Raw genomic sequence first — 12,658 nt, 5'->3', positions numbered from 1 at the left:
CAGTAGCTCAAATGCTTCATTGTTTTTCTTTTTCTTTTTCTTTTTTTTGAGACAGGGTCTCACTCTGTTGCCCAGGTTGGAGCGCAGTGGTGTGAGCTCAAGCAATCCTCCCACCTCACCCTCCCAGGTAGCTGGGAGTACAGGCACATGCTACCATGCCCAGCTAATTTTTAAACAATTTTTTGTAGAGACAGGGTCTTGCTATGTTGCCCAGGCTGGTATTGAACTCCTGGACACAGGCGATCATCCTGCCTTGACCTCCCAAAGTGCAGGGATTATAGGCACAAGCCACTATGCCCTGAGATTTTTTTCTTAACTCATATTGAAGTTAATAATTTCAGTAATTATGGAATGGACAACCTATACTAGTATAGTACTGGGACAAGGGTTTTATAATTTAGCTAGCTATGTAACTTCCGAGCCTCAGTGTTCTTACCTGAAAAATGGGGATAATACCTACCTTGCTCATTCAGCATTTCATGAGCACCTAACATTGGGGATATAAAGCATTGGGCAAGACTGATAAAGTTCTTGCCCTCATCAACTAAACATTCACAATGATACTGGAAAATTATGATATATGTGTGTGTGTGTGTGTGTGTGTGTGTGTGTGTGTGTGTATCAAGCACCCACAACCTAGATGACAGCCTGCTATATAGTAGGTACTCAATAAATTTTGACTCCCTTTTATCTTAGTAACACATCTCCCTTCCCCTCCTTCAACTTGGATGTTTCAGTGTAAGACATGATTTATTCAGGAAGTTTAGAAGAACATTATACTAATGAGTTGATTGATAAGGGTGCATGAAGATGAGAGTTGGTCAGAGAAGGCTTTGTAGAAATAGAGGAGATGTGATTAGAGCTGGGAGTTGAAAGGATAAGATTTACACAAGTCATTTAACCTCTGTACACTTTCCAGAGTTGTAACAATAGGAATACTGGTGATTGTATGTATTTTTGTGGAGTTTAAAAAAAAGTTCAAGCCTGGGCAACATGGCGAAACCCCATCTCTACAAAAAAATGCAAAAATTAGCCAGGCATGGTGGTGTGTGCCTGTAGTCCCAGCTATTCAGGAGGCTGAGGTGGGAGGATCACTTGAGCCTTGGAGGCAGAGTTTGTAGTGAGCTGGGATCTCACCATTGCGCCCCAGCCTGGGCAACAGAGTGAGACTTTGTCTCAAAAAAAAAAGATCTTAAATCAGACTTTACAAATGGTAGCCTACAATAACATTTAGCCTGCAGAGACATCTCATACACCTTAACTTTTTATTATGAAGAATTTTGAATACACAAAAGAAGACAGGATGGCATAATGAGCCCTTACCCAGCCCCAACCATTAACTGGTGGCCTTCGCTCCTCTAGCCATTCTCCCTTCACAAATTATTATAAAGCACCTCCCAGGCATCATAACATTTCATTTGTAAATAATATTAGTATGTATTGCTAAAAGATAATTTTTAAAAACATAAGCATAATATCCTTTAAAAAATCAACAATTTTTATTCAAATTTTCTTTTGTGTTACCAATGTGATAATTTTAAGTTTCTTTTATTTATTTATTTTTTTACAGACAAAGTCTTGCTCAGTTGCCCAAGCTGGAGTGTAGTAGCCCAATCATAGCTCACGGCAGCCTCAGTCCTCCCACCTCAGCTTCCTGAATAGCTGGGATTACAGGTGCATGCCACCATGCCTGGCTAACTTTTCTAGTGTTTTAAAGATGGGGGTCCTGCCATGTTGCTCAGGCTGGTCTTGAACTACCGGGCTCCTCCCTCAGCCACCCAAGTAGCTGGGACTACAGGCATGTGCCACTGTGCCCATCCTTTCTTTTAATTTATAAGTTCCCCTTCTCTTTTTTTCCTGGGGTTTTGCCGAAGAAATTGGATTATTTTTCTTTTCTTTTTTTTTTTTTTGAGACAGAGTCTCGCTCTGTTGCCCAGGCTGGAGTGCAGTGGTGTGATCTTGGCTCACTGCAAGCTCTGCTTCCCGGATTCACGCCATTCTGCCTCAGTCTCCCGAGTAGCTGGGACTACAGGTGCCTGCCACCACACCCGGCTAATTTTTTGTATCTTTAGTAGAGACGGGGTTTCACTGTGTTAGCCAGGATGGTCTCGATCTCCTGACCTCATGATCCGCCCACCTTGGCCTCCCAAAGTGTTGGGATTATAGCCGTGAGCCATCATGTCCAGCCCCAGAAATTGGATTATTTTTCCTGGGAGTATTATACCACTCTCTGGGAATTTTCAGTTGTATTCCCCTGGTGTACTTAACATCTTCCTCTGCCCTCTCTATTTCCTGTAAATTGGTGGTTTATACTTAATTAGTATATACTTAATTCAATTTAGGTTCAATTTTTTGGCCCAACTACTTCACAGGTGGTGGGTGCTGTGCTCTCCCTGAGGAGGCACATGGTATTTCCTTGTCTCTGGTGTTTATAGTCATGCTGTTCAGTGTCTAGGTTCAGTAATTCGTTATGGATGGTGAAATGGTGGTATTCTAATTATATTGTTCCCTGGTCATTTATTAGCTGAAATATTTCTATAAAGAGAAACTTCCCCTCATCTACTGTTTCGTTACCCCGTGATATGGTTGGTATAGAAAAGTCAGGATAAATGCTTGATTTATTCTCTTTGTCAGCTTTCAAAATAGTAGGTTGACCACAGAGCGTTTTCGGTTATGCAATTTCTCTTAAAAATCCAGAGCTCCAGTTTCTCTTGAGAAACCAGAAGACCTGGCAGTGATGCCTCCATTCCAGTGTGGCAGCAGTCACTTGCAGTTGTGTGGCATTGCTGCTTTGGATGGTCTGTGTGTCTTCCTGTCCCCTGCACGGTCCTCTTCACTGCCCATTGCTTACATTTGACTCATTTCATACAGTTGCATTGCCTGCTTGGCTCCCACTGGCAGATGTTTGCAATCTTACATGTAAAATCCCTAACCTGGGGTTAGTGCCTAGTGCCTGCTCAGTAATGTTTGTTTTCTTCCTGCTATACTTTGTTATACCTGCGTAACTCAGTATTTTATGTGCTTTATGTTGCATGACTGAAATAATGTTTCCTTTTAAAACTCCTCACTTTTAACTAAAGTAGTTAAATATTTCAAAACTACTCGCTTTTGCATCAATGTAATGTTTTAAAACATCTATAATACCTGGGTTTGTTATTTTATTTAAATAACTTTATTTCCTTGCCTCCCTTTTGGGGTTGGATGCTCCTTCGGTGTGGTCAAAACCAAAGGTATGTTTCTTGGTTTTTTTGCCAACCCCTCCTCATTTCTTCCATGTGTCAAACTTATGCCCAATTCTTCGAGGCCAGGCACGCTTAGGCAGTCTTATGGGTCAGATGCATCAGTTATGTCATTGCAGTGATACTTGCAACATCTCTGAGACCCACACTCTTATTTCCCCTTTTACAGTTGGAGAAACTGAAGTTTGAATGGCTTGTTCTCTAGGCTACATAGCAAGTAATTTACAGAGCTTGCATCTGAATGACTCCAAAGCTCCTGCTCTTTCTGCTGCTATCTACTGCCCCAGGTTAGATTTTTCTCCTACCGTGTGCATGTCAGGAGGGTGTAATAATTACAACATAGTCACCCATTGCTCAGTTACGTGACAGACCCCCAAGCTAAAGATTTTACATGTATCATCTGATTTAATCCTATAACACTAGGAGATAGGTCCTTTTTACTGACAGAGAAACTGAGCTCAGAGGCTTTATCTTGCCTCAGGACACACATGTAGTAAGTAGCAAAGGTAGGATTTGAACTCATGTCTGTCTGACTCTTGAGTAGTCATTAATTTACATTGTTGCTGTGTAATCTAGATGAAGAGGCAGAAATGAATATGAATGGAAAAATACATACAAGTGCAGGGTGCCAGGTGGGAAGCATCAGATGAGTGACTTTGAATGTTGGGTTAGTTCAGGGATAGAACAAGAACTACAATTTGCTGAAGTTCTCCTGTTCATCCTCCTGTCCACCCAGTGAGGTTGGTAATGATTTCCTCAGTAAGTTAAGAGACATCTGAAATGCAAACACAGGTTTCTGTGATTAAAAAAAAAACAACTTAAGCTATAAGATACCTAGAAAAAGTGAACAGCTTGATTTATTTTACAATGTGAACAGATTTGTGTAGCTTACACCCATTATCAAGAAACAGAATATTGCCAGCACTTTGAAATCCTCCTTGTGCTCCCTTCCAGGAGGATAGCCACTAAGGCTCTTTGGGTTGTTTGTCTTAAAGCCTTATAGTGTCATGGCTAAGAGCTAGGGCTTGGTAATCTGGCCTGTTGCCAGTTCTTTTACTAGCTCTGTGATCTTGGGCAACTTAGCCCCTGAGTTTCATCTGTAAAATGCAGTTAAAAATAGTTCCTACCTCATGGGTTTATTATGTATTATACATACTAAGTACCGTAAAACAATGCATGGAAAACTGCTTGGCATGATGCACATGCTCAAAGTTAGCTAATGTTAATATGAATCCTCAGCGGAAGAAGGGGTAGTTGGGGAGGTGTTTTTGTTTTAGGAGACAGGGTCTCACTCTGTCACTCAGGCTGGAGTGCAATGGCACGGTCATAGTTCATTGAAGCCTCGAACTCCTGGGCTCAAATGGTCCTCCCACCTCAGCCTCCTAAGTAGCTGGACTATAAGTACCTGCCACCATGCCCAGCTAATTAAAAAAAAAAATGTAGAAATGGGGTCTTGCTGTGTTGCCCGGACTGGTCTCAAACTTTTGGCCTCAAGTGATCCTCCCAAAGTGCTGGGATTACAGATGTGAGCCACTGCTTCCAGCCCAGTTAGGCTTTTGATGGGAGAAATGTACTCAGAAGTATACTACAGAAAAGGCTTAGACCAATATTGGAGCAGAGAGGGCATTCCTGTGGAGTGAGGAGCTTGTGTTGAGGTCCTTGGAGAGGCATTTATGCCGCGTATTTGGGAACCATGCGTAAGAGCAGTTTGTCTGCAGTGGTGCAGGACGTAAACACAGGGCACTTGTGGAAGTAAGTTGGGAGGGCTTGGCAGGTTTTAGAAGTTGATTGTGGAGGGCAGCTGAGTGCCAGGCTAAGATATTTGGACTCTTCCTCTATTGTACCACAGAGATGTTGAAGGCTTCGGAATGTGTATGTTTTGGAGGGTAGGTAGCATATCCAACAGTGTTTTAAGATATGATTCTAGCTGCATGTGTAGGAACATTGACAGCAGGAGTGACAAAGACTGGAGGCACAAAGGTAATTGTGCCAGGCACAGTGATATGCGCCCATAGTCCCAACTACTCCGGAAGCTGTGGTGGGAGGATTGCTTGGGCACAGGAGTTTGGGGCTATAGTGTGCTATGCTGATCAGGTGTCTGCACTAAATTCAGCATCAGGCCAGGCACTGTGGCTTGTGCCTATAATTCCAGCACTTTGAGAGGCTGAGGTAGGCAGCTCGCTTGAGCTCAGGAGTTGGAGACCAGCCTGGGCAACATGACGAAACCCCATCTCTACAAAAAATACAATAATTAGCCGGGCATGGTACTGCATGCCTGAGTCCCAGCTACCTGGGAGACTAAGGCAGGAAGATTGCTTGAGCCCGGGAGTTTGAGGCCACAGTGAACTATGAACATGTCACTGCACTCCAGCCTGGGCAATAGAGTGAGACCCTATCTCAAAAAAAAAAAAAAAAAAAAAAGTTCAACATCAATATGGTGACCTCCCAGGAGCAGGAGACCACTAGGTTGCCTAAGGAGAGGTAAATCGGCCCAGGTCAGAAAAAGAGCAGGCCAAAATTCCCATGCCGATGTGTAGTGGGCTAACACTTGTGAAGCCACTGTGCTCCACCCTGGGCAACATAGCAAGACCTCATTTCTAAAAAAACATAAGAAGAAGATGATGGTTACAAGGTGAGAAGACTGGTGAATTTGGGATTAAACCAAATCTCTAGGACTGATAGTTTCCCTTTATTTCCTAGTTGTCAGGCCCTATGCTGGATGTCTTTGCATACGTAATCTTATTAAATCCCCACAACAGTTCAGCAGATAGACACTGTTTTCTGTTCTATGGATAAAGAAAACGAGACCTTAGAAAAGGTAATGTAATTTGTTCAGGATGACACAGTGAATAAACGGTAGAGCCCGTTTCCTAACCCAGATCTATACCACTACAAAACCCAGTCTCTGCCACTACATCAGGGCTTCACATACTGTACCCATCAGAACCTGAGGTGCTGCTTGAGAGCCACTCAATCATAAACTTTAAAGGTGGGCCTAGGAAATGCCCTAGATGATTGATAATACACTGAAATTTGAGAACCACTCAGCCCACCATGCTGTCTCTCTAGTGGTTTTAGCATTCCCATAATTACCCCAGAGTCCTCCACCCCACAGAGTTTTCATAGAGGTGATGAGCCTGTTTCTTGGGCTCAGCAACAGTTTTTGGCTGACAGCAACAGACTATGACTGAGTGTGGGCTTCAGACCCCTGCTCTTCAAAGTGTAGTTTAGAGCCCAGCCACTCATCCAGGCCGGGAAGCTTGCTTAAAATGCAGGTACTTAGGCCCTACCCTATTGAACTAGAATCTGCATTTTTTTTTTTTTTTCTTGAGACGGAGTTTCACTCTTGTTGCCCAGGCTGGAGTGTAGCGGCACGATCTCAATCCCAGCTCACCACAACCTCTGCCTCCCAGTTTTAAGCGATTCTTCTGCCTCTGCCTCCCTAGTAACTGGGATTATGCCACCACGCCCAGCTAATTTTGTATTTTCAGTAGAGACGGGGTTTCTCCATGTTGGTCATGCTGGTCTTGAACTCCCGACCTCAGATGATCCGCCTGCTTCGGCCTCCTAGAGTGCTGGGATTACAGGCGTGAGCCACCGCGCCCAGCCGGAATCTGCATTTTAACAGCATTCCTCCAGTGATTTAGAGTCTGTGAATGGCTGCTCTAAAGCATAAGTTTGAAGTGTGAGGGGACTATAATAAAGTTATTTCATTAGGTTTCTGCAGCCTGTAAATAAAGACTAATGCAAAGAAGAAAGACCATGGAAGGAAGCCTTTTATTTATTGAATGCCTGCTGCGTGTCTGATGTTTTTGGTACTTTATTTCATTTATCCTCATAAGAACCCTGTGAAGTAGTCATTATCCCCATTAAACTGATGAGGAAACTGACACTCTGAGAAGTTAAGTACTTAGCCCAAGATCACACGGCTACTGAGTGCCTTAGCTAGGAATCAAGTGTAAATCTGTCTGACTTCAAAACCCATGCGTGCTCTTTACAGCCTACCACATTGACTCCCAGGCAGCCAGCAGGAAATGAAGGAATTCGTTTTCTTTTTTTCTTTTTCTTTTTTTTTTTTTTTTTGAGACAAGAGTCTTGCTCTGTCACCCAGGCTGGAGTACAGTGGCGCGATCTCCGCTCACTGCAACCTCCACCTCACGGGTTCAAGCAGTTCTCTGCCACAGCCTCCTGAGTAGCTGGGATTACAAGCACCCACCACCACGCCTGGCTAATTTTTGTATTTTTAGTAGAGACGGGGTTTCACCATCTTGGCCAGGCTGGTCTTGAAGTCTTGAACTCCTGACCTCGTGATCCACCCGCCTTAGCCTCCCAAAGTTCTGGGATTACAGGCGTGAGCCACCATACCCAGCCAGGAATTAGTTTTCTTCCCTATTGGTGTGTGTTCTTTCATCTAGCTGTAGAATCCAATCACCTGGAACAGTGCATAAGAGTCCTGCAGTTTGGGAGTGATAAAAATAGAACAGGTTCTGTGCTAACAGCTCTTCTCTGTGGTGTTTTGGTCAGCCTTTCCACTTGAGCAAGCCTGACCTCCAAATTGTTTACCCAGGTTAATTTCAACAGCAATGAGAAAGATTGGCAGAAAGCACTCTCTAGATGTACGGCCACAGTGCCAGCCTGGTTTTTCATTGTCAGGGCTCCTGACATTCACTGATTTTGCAAAGTACAGAATTTTGGTTTTTTGGGTTTGTTTGTTTGTTTGAGACGTAGTCTTGCTTCTTCGCCCGGGCTGGATCTCGGCTCGCCGCAACTTCCACCTTCTGGGTTCAAGCAATTCTCCTGCCTCAGCCTCCCAAGTAGCTGGGATTACAGGCACGTGCCAGCACGCCCAGCTAATTTTTGTATTCTTAGTAGAGATGGGGTTTCACCATGTTGGCCAGGCTAGTCTCGAACTCCTGACTTCCGGTGATCCACCCGCCTCGGCCTCCCAAAGTGCTGGGATTACAGGTGTGAGCCACTGCGCCCAACCCAGAGTACAGAGTTTTTTTTTGTTGCTGTTTTTTTGTGAGATGGAGTCTTGCTCTGTCTCCAGGCTGGAGTGCAATGGCGCAGTCTCAGCTCACTGCAACCTCCAACTCCTGGGTTCAAGCGATTCCCCTGCCTCAGCCTCCTGAGTAGCTGGGACTACAGGCATGCGCCACCATGCCCGGCTAATTTTTTTATATTTTAGTAGAGACGGGGTTTCACCATGTTGGCCAGGATGGTCTCAATCTCCTGACCTTGTGATCCACCCGCCTTGGCCTCCCAAAGTGCTGGGATTACAGGCGTGAGCCACTGCACCCGGCCAAGTACAGTTTTTAATGCCTTCTCACTAGATTCCATTTTGCTATGAAGTCATTTCTTTGCTTTAACTGAATTGGTCCATGAATCACAAACCAGCCCTATCTATGTACCTTTTATTGTGTGCACCTAAGCATGCACCTAAGAAAACTCCCAATTACATAAAAATTAGCCAGGCACGTGGCTTGTGCCTGCAATCCCAGCTACTGGGAGGCTGAGGCAGGAGAATCACCTGAGCCCAGGGAGTTCGTGGCTGCAGTGAGCCGTGATCGTGCCACTGCACTCCAGCCTGGGTGATAGAGTGAGACTCTGTCTCAAAAAAAAAGAAAGAAAGAAAGAAAAGAAAACTCCCAGTGAACTGATTTGTTGGAATCGGGATCTAAACCTGCTTAGTTTATAAAACAATTGAACGGAAAAAGCTAAAATTGAGCTCCTTGAACTGATTATATTCCTTGTAAATTCTGCATTCTTTTTTTCCCACTGCAAAGCCAGTGTTGAGCTGTCTAGGGTCTCTTCCTGTTCTAATTCTGCATTCTCATGTATAATTCACCAAATATAAGCTCTTTAAGTACATAGTCTATGCCTTTTATTCATCTGTTTCCCAGGCTCCCGACAGGGTTCTTGGGAAAGGCATTAGTAAATGTTTTCTTTTTGTATGAATGAATATAGGATTAGGACAGGGGTTATGGTAACAGCCAGTGCCCACTGAGCGCTTACTATATGCCAGGGCCTGCATATACTGAATTCTGTATAATCTTCTCATCAACCCAGTGATACAGATACTATTACCATCTCCATTTTACTTAGAGGAAATTTGAAACCTAGAAAGGTGAAGTGACATCTTAAGTCAATTTTACATAATGGTTAGTGGACCTGGAGTCTGCAAACCAGCAGTTTAACTCTCAAGCCTGTGCTCTTGACCAAAACACTATAATGCCTCCTAAAACTAGTATGTAAGTGCTTATTATTTGCCAAGTGCTCTTTGTATATATCTCAGCTAATCCTCACAGCTACCTTCTGAGATGGAGCCTTTTTTGCCTTCATTTTAAACAGATAAGGAAACTGAAAAGTGAGGTGGCCACCATAGTACAGCTACTTAGTGACAGGGAAGGAGGAAAACCCAGTTCTGCCTGGGGGCAAACTGCTCCTAGTTGCCTCCCTGACCCAGTAGCTGTAGTACATGACAATTGTACATTCATCCCTTTGGCAAATGTTTATTCAGCACATGTTATGTGCCAGGTGTTGTACCAAGTGCATTATATACATGATCTCATTTAAACCTCACAGCAACCATGTGAAGTGTTGGTACTATTTTTATTCTCTTTTTTTTTTTTTTTTTTTTTTGAGACGAAGTCTCACTGTCACCCAGGCTGGAGCTGGAGTGCTGTGGTGCAATCTCAGCTCACTGCAGCCTCTGCCTACCAGATTCAAATAATTCTCCTACCTCAGCCTCCTGAGTAGCTGCAATTCCAGGCAAGCGCCACCACACCCAGCTAATTTTTGTATTTTTAGTAGAGACGGGGTTTCCCCATGTTGGTCAGGCTGGTCTCGAACTTCTGACCTCGTGATCCGCCCACCTCAGCCTCCCAAAGTGCTGGGGTTATAGGCGTGAGCCACCATGCCCAGCAAGTCTTCCCATTTATAATGGGGAAACTGAAACTTATGTGTCACTAGTGTGTTGAGTGGAAATAGTGATAATTAATATTTATGACTCCTTCCTGTGTGCTAGTTGTACTGTTTTAAGTGCTTTACATATATTATTTCATGTAATTCTTACCATAACCCTATAATCAGTATATGTTAGAATGTAATATAAGGTACTTTTATCCCCATTACAGGTAAGGAAGTAGGCATTTGCCCATGTTTACATAGCCAGTAAGTGGCAGGGCCAGGTTCACACCTAGGCAGTCTGACTCCACAGCCTGTAATGTAATTGAATCTTGGTTTTTGTCTTCCTCTCTGTAGGCACCCAGATTGGCTGAAAACTTCTGTGTCTGCCATTTAGCTACTGGGGACATGCTGAGGGCCATGGTGGCTTCTGGCTCAGAGCTAGGAAAAAAGCTGAAGGCAACTATGGATGCTGGGAAACTGGTAGGTTTGGTGGTACCAATGAGTGTTGATATTCCTCAGAATCTAGATCTGCACTGTCCAATATGGTAGCCACCAGCCACAGGTGGCTATTTAGATTAATTTAATTAATGTAAAAATCAGTTCCTCAGTTGCACTAGCCATATTTCAAGTATTTACCAGCCAACGCTGATACAGAACTTTCCATCATCAAACAAAATTCTGTTGAACAACCATGTGCTAGAGGGTGTTTTAACAAACTGGCAGATTATAGGAAATTTTTTTTCTTTTTTTTTTGACAAAGTCTCGCTCTGTCGCCCAGGCTGGAGTGCAGTGGCGCAGTCTTGGCTCACTGCAACCTCCACCTCCTGGGTTCAAGCGATTCTTGTACCTCAGCCTCCCGAGTAGCTAGGATTACAGGCACCTGCCACCATGCCTGGCTAATTTTTATGTTTTTAGTAGAGATGGGGTTTCACCATGTTGGCCAGGCTGGTCTCAAACTCCTGACCTCAGGTGATCCACCCTCCTTGGCCTCCCAAAGTGCTGGGATTACAGGCGTGAGCCACCGCACTTGGCCTTGTAAGACTTTTTAGAGTGCAAGTTATTTTGTTTGTTCTGAATTTATGGCACTCATTCATAGTATTCTTGAAGTTTTTCTGTGCTGGTGTGTTTTGTTATATACCTAAATTTTAGAGCCAGAAATGAAACTGCTGTCCCTAGGCCAGAACTCAGAGATGTATTCAAGAGAGGATTTAGGAAGTCACAGAAGTGTTTTTTAACCTGCTTTATGGCTCTGTGTGCTGTTTCTGTAACAAAGCAATTACTTCGCAGTTGTGACAAAGGTAATCCTTCTTATCTGGGGACGATAATTGCATTTTCTCTCTTTTTTTTTGTTCTGAGACCCAGGCTGGTGTGCAGTGGTGCAATCATGGCTTACTACAGCCTCGACCTCCTGGGCTCAAGTGATCCTCCCACTTCGGCCTGATGAGTAGCTAGGGTTACAGGCACACACCTCCATGCCCTGCTACTTTTGTTGTTGTTGTTGTTGTTGTTGTTGTTGTTGTAGAGATGGAGTCTCACTGTGTTGCCCACACTGGTTTTGAACTGAGCTAAACCCAGGAGCAGTCCTCCTGCCCCAGCCTCTCTAAGTGCTGGGATTACAGGTGTGAGCTGCCATGCCCAGCCACATTTTCTCCTTCTTTAGGCCAGTTGACCTGATTGGACAAATACAATCTATTATTTTCTGGCACTAATCAAAGATTGCTAGATTAATTATAACTGAGTTATTCTGGAACTTGGCCTCTGAGAATCACCTTCAGAAGTCATTTTGTGCTTGGTCTTCTGGTCTTTTTTTATCTTAGAATGTTGGTTGGGGAAGGAGCTGGACTTTGCTTTAATCCTCAAGTTACCTTCTGTTAGGCTTTGAGATTCTGTAGCTGTATCAAATGATACCTCTGCCTGCCCATTTCTATCTAGTTTTCCCTTCATGTAATTGAATCTCTGAGTCAAACCAGAAAGCTAGATATTTTGGACTTTGAGTTTTGACAGAAGACTCTGTACTAAGAAAAAATTGAGATGTGGCAATGAGATTGCTTATCTCCAACCTTCACTTAGTTGCAGAGTGTGTACTTTGTCCCCAAGTTCACAGTTAGCACCAAGAAATAAAAGCATTAGCTGCCAAGATGGGCAGGCTTCACTACAGGCTGGAGACTTTTCTTTCTATAACAGCCCAAGAGAAAAACCAGTTTCTGAAAACTGGGAGAAGTCCTTATTGGGGTTTTAGAGAGACTCAGAAGTATATTGGCTTAGGGCTGGACATGGTGGCTCACTCCTGTAATACTAACACTTTGGGAGGCTGAGACAGGCAGATCACTTGAGGTCACCAGTTCGAGACCAGCCTGGCCAACATGGTGAAACCCCGTCTCTATTAAAAATACAAAAAATTAGCTGGGCATGGTCGTGTGCGCCTGTAGTCCCAGCTGTTTGGGAGGCTGAGGCACTTGAATCACCTGAACCTGGAAGGTGGAGGTTGCAGTGAGGGGAGATTGTGCCAC

The 12,658-nt window shown here is 43.9% G+C and overlaps 1 protein-coding gene across 9 annotated transcripts in view; it reads left to right on the top strand.

Annotated features, from left to right (window-relative positions):
* AK2 (adenylate kinase 2) overlaps positions 1-12,658 on the top strand; it is a 28,944-nt gene that overhangs the window by 1,814 nt on the left and 14,472 nt on the right. For 6 of the 9 annotated variants that reach the window (NR_134976.3, NM_013411.5, NM_001319143.2 and 3 more), the window contains exon 2: positions 10,503-10,628. The exons of 1 other annotated variant lie outside the window; for it this stretch is intronic. Coding sequence is in view for 7 of the 8 variants with exons in the window: in NM_013411.5 (NP_037543.1) it covers positions 10,503-10,628 (126 nt within the window). In the remaining variant the exon portion in view is untranslated. Of the gene's footprint in view, positions 1-3,408; positions 3,527-10,502; positions 10,629-12,658 lie in introns of all 9 variants that reach the window. 2 more of the 9 variants (NM_001319139.3, NM_001319140.2) reach the window with 1 other exon arrangement.

Source organism: Homo sapiens, chromosome 1, assembly GCF_000001405.40.
Source record: "Homo sapiens chromosome 1, GRCh38.p14 Primary Assembly".
Taxonomy (NCBI): domain Eukaryota; kingdom Metazoa; phylum Chordata; class Mammalia; order Primates; family Hominidae; genus Homo; species Homo sapiens.
This window is presented reverse-complemented; position numbering and strand designations above follow the sequence as displayed.